The sequence below is a fragment of the Homo sapiens genome, chromosome 9 (assembly GCF_000001405.40).
Source record: "Homo sapiens chromosome 9, GRCh38.p14 Primary Assembly".
Taxonomy (NCBI): domain Eukaryota; kingdom Metazoa; phylum Chordata; class Mammalia; order Primates; family Hominidae; genus Homo; species Homo sapiens.
The window spans coordinates 74,080,428-74,096,973 of record NC_000009.12 but is presented as its reverse complement, the minus strand read 5'-3'; the positions used below and the strand labels follow the sequence as shown (position 1 = coordinate 74,096,973).

Genomic DNA, 16,546 nt, shown 5'->3' with positions numbered 1-16,546 from the left:
ATTGTTTTCTTTGAATAACTATGAAAATACTTGTAGCCATTTTCTCTTTTAATAGGACCTTTTCCCCATTCTTTCTCCTTTCCTCCCTCTGAACTTCATTTAGGTATATGATATTTTCTTTTGTTTTTATCATCCCTGTATATCAACCCTTTCATATATATTCCATGTCTTTGTCTCTTCTGTGTTGCATGCAGGATAATTTCTTTAACCCTTTCTTCCAATGAACTAATTCTTCAGCTGAATCTAATCATCTGTTTAATCCAGGAGTCTTTTTATTAAAAGTACCAGAGTGTCAACTTGTCTGTCAGGCTTCTGGCTTCTGTGGTCTCTGTTGCCACCACGCTATTTTGCCACTGTAGCATGAAAGCAGCCATAGATGATAGATAAACAAATGGGCATGACTGTGTTTAATAAAACAGATTTACAAAAACAGGCAGTTAGCCCATGGGCCATAGTTTGCTGACACCTACTTTAATCTATCGATTGAGTTTTAAAAATTATTTTCCAATTTTAGAGTTATTATTTTTTCAATCTTTTATATTTATAATATTCTATATCTTATGCATATTTTTATCTCTTTTATATTTTAAACACATTAAATGTAATTATCTCATATCTTGTTTTCTAATAGTTTTAATATCTAAGTTCATTTATTTATATTTATTAATTTTTTTTGAGACAAGGTCTCTCTCTGTTGCCCAGGCTGGAGTACAGTGGCACCATCACAGCTCAGTTCAGCCTCAACCTTGACGACTCAAGTGATCCTCCCATCTCAGCCTCTCACGTAGCTGGGACTACAGGTTTGTGCCACCATACCTGGCTAACTAAAAAAAAAATTCTAGAGAAAGGGTCCTGCTATATTGGCCAGGCTGGTCTTGAACTCCTAGGCTCAAGTGATCCTCCCATCTCACCCTCCCAAAGTGTTGAGATTACAGATGTGAGACACTGCATACAACCTAAATTTATTCTTAAATATTATCTTCTACTGTGTGTTGTTTCTACAGGCTTACACTCATGGTTCCTTACTCATTTGTGTACCTTGTGATTTTGATTGTGTTACTTTTCTTTAAAATGAAATTTAATGAAGCCTGTTTTAAGTTATATTATTCCAGAGAAGATTTACATTTTCTTCTCTACTTGACTGAGAGTCTACCTACCAGTAAACATTTTAAGTTTACCCTTAGAAGTTGATTTTACAACACACAGATAGTATTAATTCATACTGCAAACTTGTATTATTTATGTTGCCAATCACAAGAAATATGTTTTCCACATACATAACAAGCCTCCTGTAGTGGACATGAAAATGTCCCACTCATATATATTCTGCTGCAGAGAATGTAATGGACTGATGGTCTCATATGTGATCCTTTTGAATTAACCACTGCATTTACACTGAAGACATGCTTCTACAGACAGCTCCCAGTCAGTTTCTGAGCCTAGTGAGAATACTAACGCTGGTCTATTTATATAGGATATGGGACCTCTTTAAATGGGAACTTGAGATCTAGGATTCTTTATTGGTTTAGACAAAACTTTCTTGGACTGTTCACTAGTCTAAAACTCTTCCTACCTAATCCTTGTGCCTTGCTTCTCTTGTACCCATGTTAGACCTGCATCATTCTGAAGTGTCTCCTTGCCTTCTCCAGCTTCCACTATTTTATCTTTAAGAGACATTTCTCCCATTAAAATTCATGTACATGAAAAGATTAGATGCAAGATTATTTTATGAGTGTGTATATATATATTTGCACTACTTGCAGCTAGTGTTTTGCCTAGGAGCAAAACATTTTTAAATCCTACTGTTTTCAAACAAAAGAATCTTAATCTACTTCAACTCAACCTGTTTGTAAAGTTTATGGCTTTGTATGTTACTGACAGTGTAGAATATCTGTATCTCAGATGCTTGTCAGGGAATAGAACTGATACTTAATGTCCATCAAATCCAGTTGATTGACCAATGCATCTAAAATCTACTTGTTCCTCTAAAAAGCATTACAATGTGGCTTACCTTAAACTACAATGTTAGTCATCTGCTACAGATGTGGACCTCATCATTTCTCTGCAACTCATCAAACACCACCATACTTCATCCCCTGACTTTTAATTTCTATTTTTCTGAATTTACTTTGACATAATCGGAGGAACTTTTTCAAAAACTCTCATGTAAAATGTGTACTTGTCTCTAAGAAATGTATGCTGTTGAGGATGTTCTTATATTGATAACATGATATCAAATGTGACCTATAAGACAATTTTTTTCTTTTATGTCATTTTTAGGATTTGTGTTTCACTTAAGACACTAATTAATTGTATCTGATTATTACATTGAGCTGTGGAATGGGTCATTATTATTATACTGACTGCTGAAAAATTGAGTTAGATTTGAGACTTATGTGTAATTTTGTTCATTAGTCTCTCTGTTGGATTTATTTTATTTTTTATTTCCTGTATGTGCGTGTATTAGTTTATTTTCACACTGCTATAAAGAACTGTCTGAGACTGGGTAATATATAAAGGAAAGAGGTTTAGTTGACTCACAGTTCCACATGGCTGAGGAGGCCTCAGGGAACTTACAGTCATGGCAGAAGGCAAGAGAGAAGGAAAGGCATGTCTTGCATGGCAGCAGGGAAGAGAGAGCAAATGAGCAAAGGGGGAAGAGCCCCTTATAAAACCATTAGATCTCATGAGAATTCACTCACTATCATGAAACAGCATGGGGGAAACTGCCCCCATGATCTAATCACCTCTCACCAGACCCCGCCCTCAACACATGGGGATTACAATTTGAGATGAGATTTGGGTAGGGACACAGAGTCAAACCATATCAATAGGCATGTATGTGTTTGTGTGTATTTTTATGTATTGCTGAGTAGCATTACAGTGTGTGCCTATAGCATAATTTGTCTATTCACCTGTTAATGAACATTTTTTACCCTAACAGTATATATATTTATTTATTTTACAATCTTTGTAGGTAAATATTCTGTTCTAAAATCTGTCCTTTTCTTTCCTTTGAGATTATACCATAAACATTTATCTGTGTGGTTATATAGTGTTCATAATAATTACCTTTATAATTGGATTATATTTCTTCAAATGAGCTCACCATAATTTACTTTGACTGTTTATATGAATGAGACAGAGTCAAAAATATCAAATACAAGCATCCAAAAGCTTTCCCTTTTTTTTTTTTTTTTTTTTTGGTTTCTTCGGGCCATTTTGTTTTGTTTGACTATTTCTGAACTCTTTCTGTGTGGTCCCAGTGCATGGTGACCAGGAAACTGGGACGGGTGAGAAAGTAGAGTTAGGAAAAGAAAGGGAAAGGAAAGCCAAACAGGAGAACTCACTAAAGTTGGCTAAAGTTTTATCAAGGAGAGAGAGACAAGAAATACTAGAGTTAGCTGCCTGTGATGTGGGACTTGCAAAGAGAAGTAGAACAAATACTGAAGATATTTGTTGTTTGTTGCGTAGGGTAAATTCTTTCTTTGTCCTCCCTTAAGAATGCATTCAGAAATAGTATATATGATTCAGCAAAGCCTTTGAAATCCAAACTGAGTTTCTTCAGGAAATAACAAAAATACCTAATAAAAACATAGCTATATTTGGTTTACATTTTTGTCTGTTTTTTTTTTCTATTATTTAGCTATTTTAAGTAAAGCTTTAACAAAAGTAATGGAAACATTTTTAAGACTCTTATTCGTGCCTTAGGTAATAAAATAGAAAACACTATCTTAAAGTTGAGTCTGAGGAAGTGGGGCAGAGTTGTTGTTTTATCTGAAACAGATATATTAACGATGTCATCAAGAAGAGCATAGAGATAAATTTAGTTAAGATAAATTCAGTACATTCAGAAGCCAAAACAACCAAAAGAATCAGTATGCAATTAGCAAAAAGATACACTTTAGTCACATGTGCTATGCAAAATATCTGACATGCAATTAAAAGGCAATATAATTTTCAAGATAATAGTAAATATCAGTGCAGAGCTAATTTATATATAACATTTTTGTAGTTTATATACTTAAAAATCATCTTAAAGTGAACAATGAGGAAGAAAACAAAAAATAATGATCATTTGAAACATCTCACTTCTAGAGAGCCAGAGAATTTTAAAGAATTTTGAGTGTCTATAGTTGTTGAGCAAAAAAAAAGTCAAACTCTGTAAAATATTTAAAGAGTTTTATTCTGAGCTAAATATGAGTGACCATGGCCCGGGGTACAACCTCAAGAGGTCCTGAGAATATGTGCCCAAAATAGTGAGGTTACAGTTTGATTTTATACATTTTAGGGTGACAGAAGTTACAGGCAAAGATATAAATCAATACATGTAAGGCACACATTGATTTGGCCTAGAACTGTGAGACATCTGGAAGTAGGAAAAGAGGTGTGGATGGTGGGTATTACAGGTGATAGGTGGATAAAAGATTCTCTGATTGACAACTGGTTATAAGAGTTAGCTCTTAAAAAAAAAAAAGATAAAGGGCATTGTGGTTGTGGAAGACAAGGTTCTTGTCACGTAGATGAAGTCTGTAAGTAGCAGGCTTCAGAGAGAATAGATGGGCAATGTAAATGTCCCTTTTTTTTTTTTTTTTGAGACAGAGTCTTGCTTGTTGCCCCGGCTGGAGTGCAATGGCACTATCTTGGCTCACTGCAACCTCCGCCTCCCGGGTTCAAGCGATTCTCCTGCCTCAGCCTCCCAAGTAGCTGCGATTACAGGTGCCTGCCACTGCACCCAGCTAATTTTTGTATTTTTAGTAGAGACGGGGTTTCATCATCTTGGCCAGGCTGGTTTCGAACTCCCAATGTCATGACCCACCCGCCTCGGCCTCCCAAAGTGTTAGGATTACAAGTGTGAGCAAACGCGCCCGGCCTATGAATGTCTCTTTTCGGAATTTAAAAGGTATCAGACTTGGAAAACACCTAGAAAAGGGAGGAGATTCTCCACAGAATGCAAATTTTACCCACAAGACAGCTTTACAGAGCCATTTCAAACTGTCGAAGAAATATATTTTGGGGTAAAATATTTTTATTGCCTTCAGGGCCTGCTATCTGTTGTGTGAGGCTATACAGGAAACAGGTTGGAATTTGGTATCTGTTTGCTACAAAGAGTCTGTTCTGTTAGTCTTAGGATCTCTATTTTAATGTTAATGTTGGTCAGTTGTTTCTAAACACCATAGAGAGAGGGTATAATGAGGCATGTCTGACCTCCCTTCCCATCATGGCCTGAACTAGTTTTTCAGGTTTCTTTGGGATCCATTTGGTCAAGAAGTGAGTCCATTCAGTTGGTTGGGAGGCTTATAATTTTATTTTTGGTTTACATAGTTATGCCTCTTTTTAACTGGTGAGGAATGTTTTTAGAGGTCACTAAATACAGGGGCAGATGTTGACAAAACATATACAAATATTAACAAGAGAAACTGGAGTTAAGAATGTCAGGCCTCTAAGCCCAAGCAAAGCCATCATATAAGGATGCCTTTTTGGTTATAGATATGATCAGGATGGGCATCAACCTGAAAGGAAGATCGTGGGCTCTTTCATGCGCGTCCGTGTGAAGAGACCACCAAACAGGCTTTGTGTGAGCAACATGGCTGTTTATTTCACCTGGGTGCAGGCGGGCTGAGTCCGAAAAGAGAGTCATGGGCTGAGACCGAAAAGAGAGTCAGCGAAGGGAGATAAGGGTGGGGCTGTTTTATAGGATTTGGGTAGGTAAAGGAAAATTACAGTCAAAGGGGGTTTGTTCTCTGGCGGGCAGGAGTGGGGGTCGCAAGGTGCTCTGTGGGGATGCTTTCTGAGTCAGGATGAGCCAGGAAAAGGACTTTCACAAGGTAATGTCATCAGTTAAGGCAAGGACCAGCCATTTACACTTCTTTTGTGGTGGAATGTCATAGGTTAAGGTGGGGCAGGGCATATTCACTTCTTTTGTGATTCTTCAGTTACTTCAGGCCATCTGGGCATATACATGCAAGTCACAGGGGATGTGATGGCTTGGCTTGGGCTCAGAGGCCTGACATTCCTGCCTTCTTATATTACTAAGAAAAATAAAACAAAATAGTGTTGAAGTGTTGGGGTGGCGAAAATTTTTGGGGGGTGGTATGGAGAGAGAATGGGTGATGTTTCTCAGGGCTGCTTCAAGCAGGATTAGGGGCAGTGTGGGAACCTAGAGTGGGAGAGATTAAGCTGAAGGGAGGTCTTGTGGTAAGGGGTGATATTGTGGGAATGTTAGAAGAAACACTTGTCGTATAGAATGATTGGTGATGGCCTGGATATGGTTTTGGATGAATTGAGAAACTAAATGGAATAACAGAAGGAGAAAAACAGGTATAAAAGGTCTAAGAATTGGGACGATTCAGGATATCTGATTAGAGAGTGCCTAAGGAGATTCAGCATAGTCCTGCCAACAAAGATTATTTATTTACTTCAAGAGTTAAGAGTGGCAGTTTGGGGATAGCATGAGGAGATATCAGCTGTGATGGCTTGGAAAAACAGTGTAAACCGGCAGTGTAAACAAGAGCAGGGCATGTATGAGTAGTTGAGAACGGTGAATAGCAGTATGACTAGACAGAAGATAGTAGGGATGACAAGTTTTTTTAGGGGCATAGTCTAAGTTGGTCTGGTGTCTGGAATGAGACTGGGGCCTAATAAAAAGGAGCGTCTATACAGGAGCTCAAATAGGCTGTGCCCTGTAGCATTCCGAGGACAGGCCTGAATTCTGATAAGGGAAAGTGTTAAAAGTATTGTCCAGTCCTTTTTAAGTTGGTGGCTGAGCTTGGTGAGGTGTGTTTTTAAAAGACCTTTAGTCCATTCTACTTTTCTTGAAGACGGAGGACCATAAGGGATATAAAGGTTTCACTGAATACAGAGAGCCTGAAAAACTGCTTGGCTGATTTGACTAATAAAGGCTCGTCTGTTATCAGACTGTATTGAGGTGGGAAGGCTCAACTGAGGAATTATGTCGGACAGAAGGGAAGAAATGACTGCGGTGGCCTTCTCAGACCCTGTAGGAAAGGCCTCTACCTATCCAGTGAAAGTATCTACCTAGACTAAGAGGTATTTTAGTTATCTGATTCAGGGCATGTTGAGTAAAGCTAATTTGCCAGTCCTGGGTGGGGCAAATCCTTGAGCTTGATGTGTAGGGAAGGGAGGGGGCCTGAATAATCCCTGAGGAGTAGTAGAATAGCAGATGGAACACTGAGAAGTTATGTCCTTCAGGATAGATTTCCACGATAGAAATGAAATGAGAGGTTCTAAGAGGTGGGCTAGTGGCTTGTACTATAGCATAACCTGCCTTTGCTGGTGTGTGGTGATTAGGCCTGGTGGAACCGCCATCAATAAATCAAGTGTGATCAGGGTGAGGAACAGGAAAGAAGGAAATTTGGGGAAATGGGGTGAATGTCAGGTGGATCAGAGAGATACAGTCATGGGGGTCAGGTGTGGTATCAGGAATAATGTGGGAGGCCGGATTGAAGTCTGGGCCAGGAACAATGGTAATTGTGGGAGACTCAACAAAGAGTGAGTATAGCTGAAGGAGCTGGGAAGAAGAAAGTATATGCGTCAGGTATGAGGAAGAAAATAGATTTTGGAAGTTATGAGAACTGTAGAGAGTGAGTTGAGCATAGTTTGTGATTTTGAGGGCCTCCAAAAGTATTAAAGCAGTGGCAGCTGCTGCACGCAGACATGAGGGCTAGGCTAAAACAGTAAGGTCAACTTGTTTGCACAGAAAGGCTACAGGGTGCAGTCCTGGCTCTTGTGTAAGAATTCTGACCACACTAACCATGCCTAGGAAGGAAAGGAGTTGTTGTTTTGTAAGGGATTGAGGTTTGGGAGATTAATCGGACACGATCAGCAGGGAAAGCATGTATGTTTTTACAAGAATTATGCCGAGATAGGTAACAGATGAGGATGAAATTTGGGCTTGACTGAAGTAATGGGGGCTGTCTATGAAGCCTTGCGGCAGTACAGCCTTGGTAATTTGCTGAGCCTAATGGGTGTCAGGGTCAGTCTAAGTGAAAGCAAAGAGAGGCTGGGACGAGGGGTGCAGGGGAATAGTGAAAAAAGCATCTTTAAGATCAAGCACGGAATAGTGAGTTGTGGAGGAAGGTATTGAGGACAAAAGAGTGTACGGGTTGGGCACCACAGGGTGGATAGGCAAAACAATTTGGTTGATAAGGCGCAGATCCTGAACTAACTTGTAAGGCTTGTCTGGTTTTAGGACAGGTAAAATGGGGGAATTGTAAGGAGAGTTTATAGGGTTTAAAAGGCCATGCTGTAGCAGGTGAGTGATAACAGGCTTTAATCTTTTTAAAGTGTGCTGTCGGATGGGATATTGGCGTTGAGTGGGGTAAGGGTGATTAGGTTTTAATGAGATGGTAAGGGGTGCATGATCGGTCGCCAAGGAGGGAGTAGAGGTATCTTATACTTGTGGGTTAAGGTGGGAGGATACGAGAGGAGAACGAAAGGAGGCTTTGGATTGGGAAGAAGGGCGGCAATGAGATATAGCTGTAGTCCAGGAATAGTCAGGGAAGCAGATAATTTAGTTAAAGTGTCTCAGCCTAATAAGGGAACTGGGCAGGTGGGGATAACTAAAAAGGAGTGCTTAAAAGAGCATTGTGTAAGTTGGCACCAGAGTTGGGGAGTTTTAAGAGGTTTAGAAGCCTGGCCGTCAATACCCACAACAGTTATGGAGGCAAGGGAAACAGGCCCTTGAAAAGAAGGTAATGTGGAGTGGGTAGCCTCCGTATTGATTAAGAAGGGGAGGGGCTTACCCTCCACTGTGAGAGTTACCTGAAGCTGGGTGTCCGTGATGGTCTAGGGGGCTTCCGAGGCCATTGGGCAGTGTCAGTCTTCAGCCGCTAAGCCGAGAAGATCTGGGAAGGAGTCAGAGAGCCTCGGGCCAGAGTTCCAGGGGCTCTGGGAGTGGCTACCAGGTGAGTTAAACAGTCCAGTTTTCAGTGGGGTCCCACACAGATGGGACGCGGCTTAGGAGGAATCCCAGGCTGTGGGCATTCCTTGGCCCAGTGGCCAGATTTCTGGCACGTGTAGCAAGCTCCTGGGGGAGGAGGTTCTGGAGGAATGCCTGGCTGCTGCGGTTCAGGCATTTGGAAGTTCTTGTGTGCTGGAGATGTGGCTGGGGTTTGTCTCACAGTGGAGGCAAGGAATTGCAACTTTTTTCTGTTATTGTACACCTTGAAGGTGAGGTTAATTAAGTCCTGGTGTGGGGTTTGAGGGCCTGACTCCAATTTTTGGAGTTTTATTTAATGTCGGGAGCAGATTGGGTAATAAAATGTATATTGAGAATAAGACGGCCTTTTGACCTTTTAGGGTCTAGGGCTGTAAAGTGTCTCAGGGTTGCTGCCAAACAAGTCATGAACTGGGCTGGATTTTTATATTTGATGAAAAAGAGCCTAAATGCTTCTGATTTGGGATAAAGAAAAAGGAGCATTAACCTTGACTATGCCTTTGGCTCCAGCCACCTTTTTAAGAGTAAATTGCTGGGCAGGTTGGGGAGGGCTAGTCACGGAACGAAACTGTAAGCTGGACCAGGTGTGAGGAGGGGAGGTGATAAAAAGATTATAGGGTGGAGGAGCAGAGGCTGAGGAAGAATTGGGACCTAGCTCGGCCTGGCGAGGAGCAGCCTGGGGAGTAAGGGAGAGGTCAGATGGGTCTGTAGAAAAGGAAGATTAGAAAGACTCAGTGACGCTTGGGGTTGGTACTGATGGGACAGGTGGGAGGGAAAGAAGGAAGATTTGGGACGAGTTGCACTGGGCACAGAGACTAGGAAGGGATTGATGTGTAAAATGCCTGGACGTCAGGAACCTCAGACCGTTTGCCTATTTTACGACAAGAATTATTTAGATTTTGCAGGATGGAAAAATTCAAAGTGCCATTTTCTGGCTATTTGGAACTACTGTCAAGTTTGTATTGGGGTCAAGCGGCATTGCAGAAGAAAATAAGGCATTTAGGTTTTAGGTCAGGTGTGAGTTGAAGAGGTTTTAAGTTTTTGAGAACACAGGCCAAGGGAGTAGAAGGAGGAATGGAGGGTGGAAGGTTGCCCATAGTGAAGGAAGCAAGCCTAGAGAAAAGAGAGAGTAGAGAAACGGAGGGAAGGGGTTCGGGGGTTCTTACCTTCCAGAAAACTGGGAAAAGGGGTTGGGGCGCAGAGATAAGAGGTCGGGGCATGGAAATAAGGGATGAGGCGCAGAAATAAGGGGTCGGGGCATGGAAATAAGGGGTCGGGGCACAGAAATAAGGGGTTGGGGCACGGAAATAAGGGATTGGGGGTTCTTGCCCCCTAGAAAAGCAGGACTTGCCGCTAAGGGTGAAAGAGAAGGGGTTGAGGGGTACTTGCCCCTCCCCCAGAAAAGCGGGACTTGCCACTAAGGGTGAAGGAGAAGGGGTTGAGGGGTACTTGCCCCTGCCCCAGAAAAGCAGAGAAGGGGTAGAGACAAGGAGAGAAGGGGTTGAGGGGTACTTGCCCCTTCCCCAGAAAAGCAGGACTTGCCACTAAGGGTGAAGGACCAAGGCAGGCGTCCCTGCATGGTCTAACACCCTTGAAACATGGGTGTATAATCAGAGAGGCATCCCTGCAGTGATTAAACACCAAGGGAAGGCTGCCTTCCCAGTCCGTGACCAGCGCCGAAGTTTTGGGTCCACGGATAAAACGTGTCTCCTTTGTCTCTCCCAGAAAATGAAAGGAATTGAAATTAAGAGAAGGGAGAGATTGAAGAGTGGAAAGGAGAAAGTGGTTGAGGGAAAGTGAGAGAGGTTGAAGAGAGTAAGAAGAGGCTGCTTACCTGATTTAAAATTGGTGAGATGTTCCTTGGGCTGGTCGGTCTGAGGACCTGAGGTCATAGGTGGATCTTTCTCACGGAGCAAAGAACAGGAGTACAGGGGATTGATCTCCCAAGGGAGGTCCCTCGATCTGAGTCACGGCACCAAATTTCATGCGCGTCCATGTGAAGAGACCACCAAACAGGCTTTGTGTGAGCAACATGGCTGTTTATTTCACCTGGGTGCAGGCGGGCTGAGTCCGAAAAGAGAGTCAGCGAAGGGAGATAAGGGTGGGGCCGTTTTATAGGATTGGATAGGTAAAGGAAAATTACAGTCAAAGGGGGTTTGTTCTCTGGCAGGCAGGAGTGGGGGTCGCAAGGTGCTCAGTGGGGGTGCTTTTTGAGTCAGGATGAGCCAGGAAAAGGACTTTCACAAGGTAATGTCATCAATTAAGGCAAGGACTGGCCATTTACACTTCTTTTGTGGTGGAATGTCATCAGTTAAGGTGGGGCAGGGCATATTCACTTCTTTTGTGATTCTTCAGTTACTTCAGGCCATCTGGGCATATATGTGCAAGTCACAGGGGATGTGATGGCTTGGCTTGGGCTCAGAGGCCTGACAGGCTCTGCATACCTGAGGATATTTTAAACGTAAGGAGCCATCAATTCCTTGGATGAGTAAAATGTAGCTTTCCTGGATAGAAAGGTCCATGTCAGATGATCTTTGGAGATCTGTGCTACCTTTAGAACTCTCCAAATCATTTCAGTGATCAAGCTAAAAATAAAATAATATTTATATGAATTCTGACTAAGCAGTCAATCAACAAGTTCATGACAAGTATTCTTGTGATTGGTGGAAATGGAGTCAGTCAATATACATTTTCACTATTCCAGTATTCTCAGGAACAGAATTGGGTACATATTTATATTGACCTTGACTTTGCTGCTGGATAAAATCATCTAGGAATATATAATGTATTTACCGATGTGGAAAATTTATAGCATTCTCATTCAAATTTCTAGCCACAATGTTTATAAACTCATCTAGTATCAGTATCTTTCACCAAATCTTGATTACCAGGAAGGTGGTTACTATGCCCTTTACAATATAATAGTGACTAGCAAATTTAGTAGACAGAGTTCAGAGGTGATAAAATTGTTCTCTTTACTATACATATTGAAGAATTGTTTATTTTTTAATAATAATTTGTTTAATAAAAATAAAATTAAATTATAAAAATAAAAGCAAAGGCAAGCATTCAATAATATTAAGTGACATCAAGTAAGTCTTTTGTATAGTTACCTGACTAGAAGGATGTAATTCTTTGATAGCACTGAATATTTCTTACTCTGCCAGGAAGGTGATGTTTCTGAACAGTTTTAGTGCAGTTATTTATACATTATAGATGTTTATTACATTTTTGATAAACAAAAATAAAATTAGTATCATTAAACCTGTTCTTACAAAATTAACATAAAACACACAAACACATCCAAAACAAAAGTTTGCTCCAGCAATTGATAGCAAGAAGTCAATTACATTGATTTTCATTTTCATGATTTCAGATCAATTTCCAATGTTCCTTTTTTTTGTTTTTCTTAATTTAATCTTAGTCACTAGGTAGATACAGCCTTAAATTATAATTCTTCCATTTAAAGGATTCATGACATTTTAGCAATTGAGATGCCTGAATTAGCAAAGTGTAATTGCAGATTTTAGGATTAATCCTAGAGTTTAAAAGCTAAACTTAAGCATGGATCAGTGTTTCCCACTAACTAGTGACACTCTTTTGCCATTCAGTTTTCCAACTGATAGAGAGTGACTATTGCAGATAATGTTTCTGCATTTAAACCCATAAGAATTATTGTGAAAGCAAGCGGAACTCAAGAGAGACCAGGGGGTTGGAGTGAAAGAACCCTTGCAGTGAAAGGAATCAAGGATTGTCTTTAGAACCCATGCTACCTGAGCAACCAGGTCAAAAAACTTCCTCTAATGAAGATCCATCCATTACCATGACATGCAAGCTCTGTCTGTAGATCACTTTCATGGTCTCCAAAGAAGCTGAGCAGTTATCAGTAACATTCAAAAATCCACTGGAAAGTCATTCATTTCACTTTATGGTCCTAATTAGCCATTTGTATAGTTCTATAATTAAATATGTTCCTTTCTCATCAAGTTTTTCACTTTAGTAATGATACAACTGTGCCACAAACAGGCCCCATGCTGCTGGGTTTGGGACTTATTCATAGCATTTAATTGGTCACCCAGTGGTTAGCCAATAACCCCTTCTATGGGAAGCAACACTCTGAATGCTGTTAATGGGATGGAGGCACAGTGATTGCCTCCTGGTACCCAGCAGTACTGGGAATAAAGCAATTTCCTCCACTGTGTTGTGTGCCCAATAGCTAATCCTTTCCACTCCTGAAATGCACACTATTTGGTTATAAGTATTTGTGCTGGCTTACTTACCGCTGGGTTGTTAATAGGCAGTGATTCTTCAATGCTCCTTCAGTGAAGTTACAGTCTGCTTGCTGACTGCTAATTAAAACAAGTTTGCTCTCTAAGACTGTGACTAAAAGGTAGCAAGGTCATCTTATTTAATGCAATAACCTTTTATTTAACAATGTTGATACACTAGTCATATGTGCACATTTTGCAAACTGGCACATCTATTATTGTTTGCTTCAAAAGGACAAAACTGAGCTACTGACTAGTCTGCTTTCCTTTGAAGTGGAATTGTTAAAAATCCCCAGTTCAAGCTTCTGTTATACAGTTGAAACACAAGGCTTGCTGCAGGATTCTATTTACGGTATTTGGGCTTCTGAAAACAAATAGAAAAAAGTCATCTGTACTAACCACAAATGCCTAAGCTATTAAAGTAATACTTGGATTCTATTCCCATGTGTTTTGTTTTAATTATAGTTTGATATATGAAAGGGCATTATAGACTCTACAAATTAGAAAGTAAAACAATCGGTAGATGGCACTTCCTAACCACCTGCTTGGTGTAAATATACATGATGAAGTCTCAGAAATGGTATTCTGTCCAAAAATGGGATTCTGGACAATAAAATAAAAATTGGAGTGACCTGTAACAGAGACAATCATATTTTGGCTTGTATAATGCCCAGATATTTTAATGTCACATCTCATAAAGATCTGGGGAAAAATCTAATTTGCTGATTTTTTGATGTGCATTTCTTCCTTAACATTCCTGAGATTTACCTCCAATGATGACAAAAAAAGCAATGTAATGTACTCTATAAGACAATATGGTACTTCTTCATAACTTAGGCACTTTTCAGAGAGCCAAGAATGTCAAAGTTAATTGTTCAGTGGTCTCAAAGTTTTCCTAACTCAAAGTTAAACATGATTATTTCAGAAAATATAGTTCTATCTTTCAACCATAAAAAATTAGAAACAATTTAAAAATTCTCCATTCACAACAGAAGGAGAAGAGATATTTTAAAGACAAAATGTTGTGGGTGTGCAAAAAGCAATGTTGTCTCTTGGGGCAAGGTGACGTCACAAGCAATTTGTCTCTAGTGTGTAAAGCAAATACATTTTAGAGGGTTTTAATTTAAATGCCATTTGGGAGCTAGTGTCCTACGTTATATGCCCTACAAAATATGTTCATATGTAGCTGCAATTATGTAGATACAGGTGCATACAGTCAACACTTTTTTGTAGTGATAAATCAGTACTATTTCCCTATTGCTCCTGAAAACTAAACAAATGGCTTGGATACATATTTAAGTCAGGTAATACTTCTAAATGGCCACTGATTTTTGCATGATGATTTTGTTTTGTGAAATTTTACTGAATTCATTTGCTAGTTTTAAAAACAGTTTTTGATGTATGTTGAGTCCATAGGGTTTTCTACATATAAGATTATGACCTTTGTGAACAGAGATAACTTTATTTCTTCCTTTCCATTAGGATGATTTCTATTTCTTTTTCTTGCCTAATTGCTCTGGCTAGGACATTCAGTACTCTATTGAATGGAAATGGTGAAAGTGGCCATACTTGCTTTCTTTCTGATCTTAGAGGAAGGGCTTTTAGTTTTTCACACTTGATATGATATTGGCTCTAAGCTTTTCATATATGGCCTTTACCATGTTGAGGTAATTTTCTTCTGTTCCTAGTTTGTGGAGTGTTTCTATCATGAAAAGATGTTGGATTTTGTCAAGTACTTTTTATGTATCTGTTGAGGTGGATCATACACTGTTATTCTTCATTCTGTTCATATAGTGTATCGTATTCATTGACTTGCTTATGTTGAACCATTCTTGAGTCCCAATGATGAATCTCACTTGGTTATAGTATATAATCCTTTTAATGTGCTTCTGAATTCAGTTTGCTAGTATTTGTAATGAATTTTTTCATCTATGTTCATCAGGGATATTGCCCTATAGTTTTTTTTGTTTTTTTTTTTTCTTTGTAGTGTTATAAGGATTTGGTATCAGGGCAATGCTGGACTCAGAAAATGAGTTTGGAAGTATTCACTCCTCTTCAAATTTTTGGAAGAGTTTGAAAAGACTGGTGTTAGTTCTTCTTTAAATGTTTGGCAGAATACACCAGTGAAGCCATCTGGTTCTGGACTTTTCTTTGTTGGGAGGTTTTGACTACTGATTCAGTCTCCTTACTATCATTGGTCTGTTCAGATTTTCTATTTCTTATAATTTTGTACACTAACAACAAACTGTCTGAAATAAATTAAGAAAACAATCTCATTTCAAATAGCATCAAAAAGAATAAAATATGTAGCATTAAACTTAACTAAAAAGGTAAAGCAGTTGTTCACTAAAAACTGCAAAATACTGATGAAATAAAATAAATTGAAAAAGAAAAAAATAAATACAAAGACATCCATGTTCATGGATTAGAAGACAATATTGTTAAAATGTATATACTACCCAAAGTGATCTAAAGATTCAGTGCAATTCCTATCAAATTTCCAATAAAATTTTTTACAAAAATAGAAAAAGATACCATAAAATTCATGTGAAACCACAAAGGACCCTGGAAAGTAAAAAATAATCTTAAGAAGGTGGCCAGGCCCGGTGATTCATGCTTGTAATCCCAGCACTTTGGGAGGCCGAGGTGGGTGGATCACCTAAAGTCAGGAGTTCGAGATGAGCCTGGCCAACATGGCGAAACCGTGTCTCTACTAAAAATACAAAAATTAGCTGGGCGTGGTGGCAGCACCTGTAATCCCAGCTACTCTGAGGCTGAGGCAGGAGAATCACTTGAACCTGGGAGGCAGAGGTTACAGTGAGTGGAGATCATGCCACTATACTCCAGCCTAGGTGACAGAGTGACGCTCTGTCTCAAATAAATAAATAAATAAATAAATAAATAAATAAATAAATAACAAATAATAAAAAGAATCTTAAGGAGGAACAAAAAAGTTGCAAGTGTCACACTTGCTGATTTCAAAGTACAAACATTTTATTGTGCTTCACTTTATTGCCCTTTTCAGATACTGCTTTTTTTTTTTTTTTTTACAAATTGAAGGTCTGTGGCAACTCTGCATTGAGCAAGTCTATTGGTGCCATTTTCCAAAGGCATGTGCTCACTTCATGCCTTCATTTTGGTAGTTTTAGCAACATTTCAAACTTTTTCATTATTATTATAATATGTTATGGTTATCTGTAATCAGTGATCTTTGATGTTACTATTGAAATTGCTTTGGGGTGCCATGAACTGTGTTTATTCAGAATAACTGTGTTATTCAGAAAACTAGCTAAGAAAATTGATGAAGATATACACAATA

At 39.4% G+C, this 16,546-nt stretch overlaps 5 annotated features.

Moving 5' to 3' along the window:
- Nucleotides 5,548-6,134: an enhancer, noted in NCBI's record as "OCT4-NANOG-H3K27ac hESC enhancer chr9:76705756-76706342 (GRCh37/hg19 assembly coordinates)". NCBI's record gives its function as "activates a minimal SCP1, AML or CMV promoter by ChIP-STARR-seq in naive H9 embryonic stem cells {active_cell/tissue: H9 hESC(naive)}" and the evidence as "EXISTENCE:reporter gene assay evidence [ECO:0000049][PMID:30033119]".
- Nucleotides 7,784-8,347: an enhancer, noted in NCBI's record as "H3K27ac hESC enhancer chr9:76703543-76704106 (GRCh37/hg19 assembly coordinates)". NCBI's record gives its function as "activates a minimal SCP1, AML or CMV promoter by ChIP-STARR-seq in primed H9 embryonic stem cells {active_cell/tissue: H9 hESC(primed)}" and the evidence as "EXISTENCE:reporter gene assay evidence [ECO:0000049][PMID:30033119]".
- Nucleotides 10,036-10,599: an enhancer, noted in NCBI's record as "NANOG-H3K27ac-H3K4me1 hESC enhancer chr9:76701291-76701854 (GRCh37/hg19 assembly coordinates)". NCBI's record gives its function as "activates a minimal SCP1, AML or CMV promoter by ChIP-STARR-seq in naive H9 embryonic stem cells {active_cell/tissue: H9 hESC(naive)}" and the evidence as "EXISTENCE:reporter gene assay evidence [ECO:0000049][PMID:30033119]".
- Nucleotides 10,600-11,163: an enhancer, noted in NCBI's record as "OCT4-NANOG-H3K27ac-H3K4me1 hESC enhancer chr9:76700727-76701290 (GRCh37/hg19 assembly coordinates)". NCBI's record gives its function as "activates a minimal SCP1, AML or CMV promoter by ChIP-STARR-seq in naive and primed H9 embryonic stem cells {active_cell/tissue: H9 hESC(naive and primed)}" and the evidence as "EXISTENCE:reporter gene assay evidence [ECO:0000049][PMID:30033119]".
- Nucleotides 11,164-11,727: an enhancer, noted in NCBI's record as "OCT4-NANOG-H3K27ac hESC enhancer chr9:76700163-76700726 (GRCh37/hg19 assembly coordinates)". NCBI's record gives its function as "activates a minimal SCP1, AML or CMV promoter by ChIP-STARR-seq in naive and primed H9 embryonic stem cells {active_cell/tissue: H9 hESC(naive and primed)}" and the evidence as "EXISTENCE:reporter gene assay evidence [ECO:0000049][PMID:30033119]".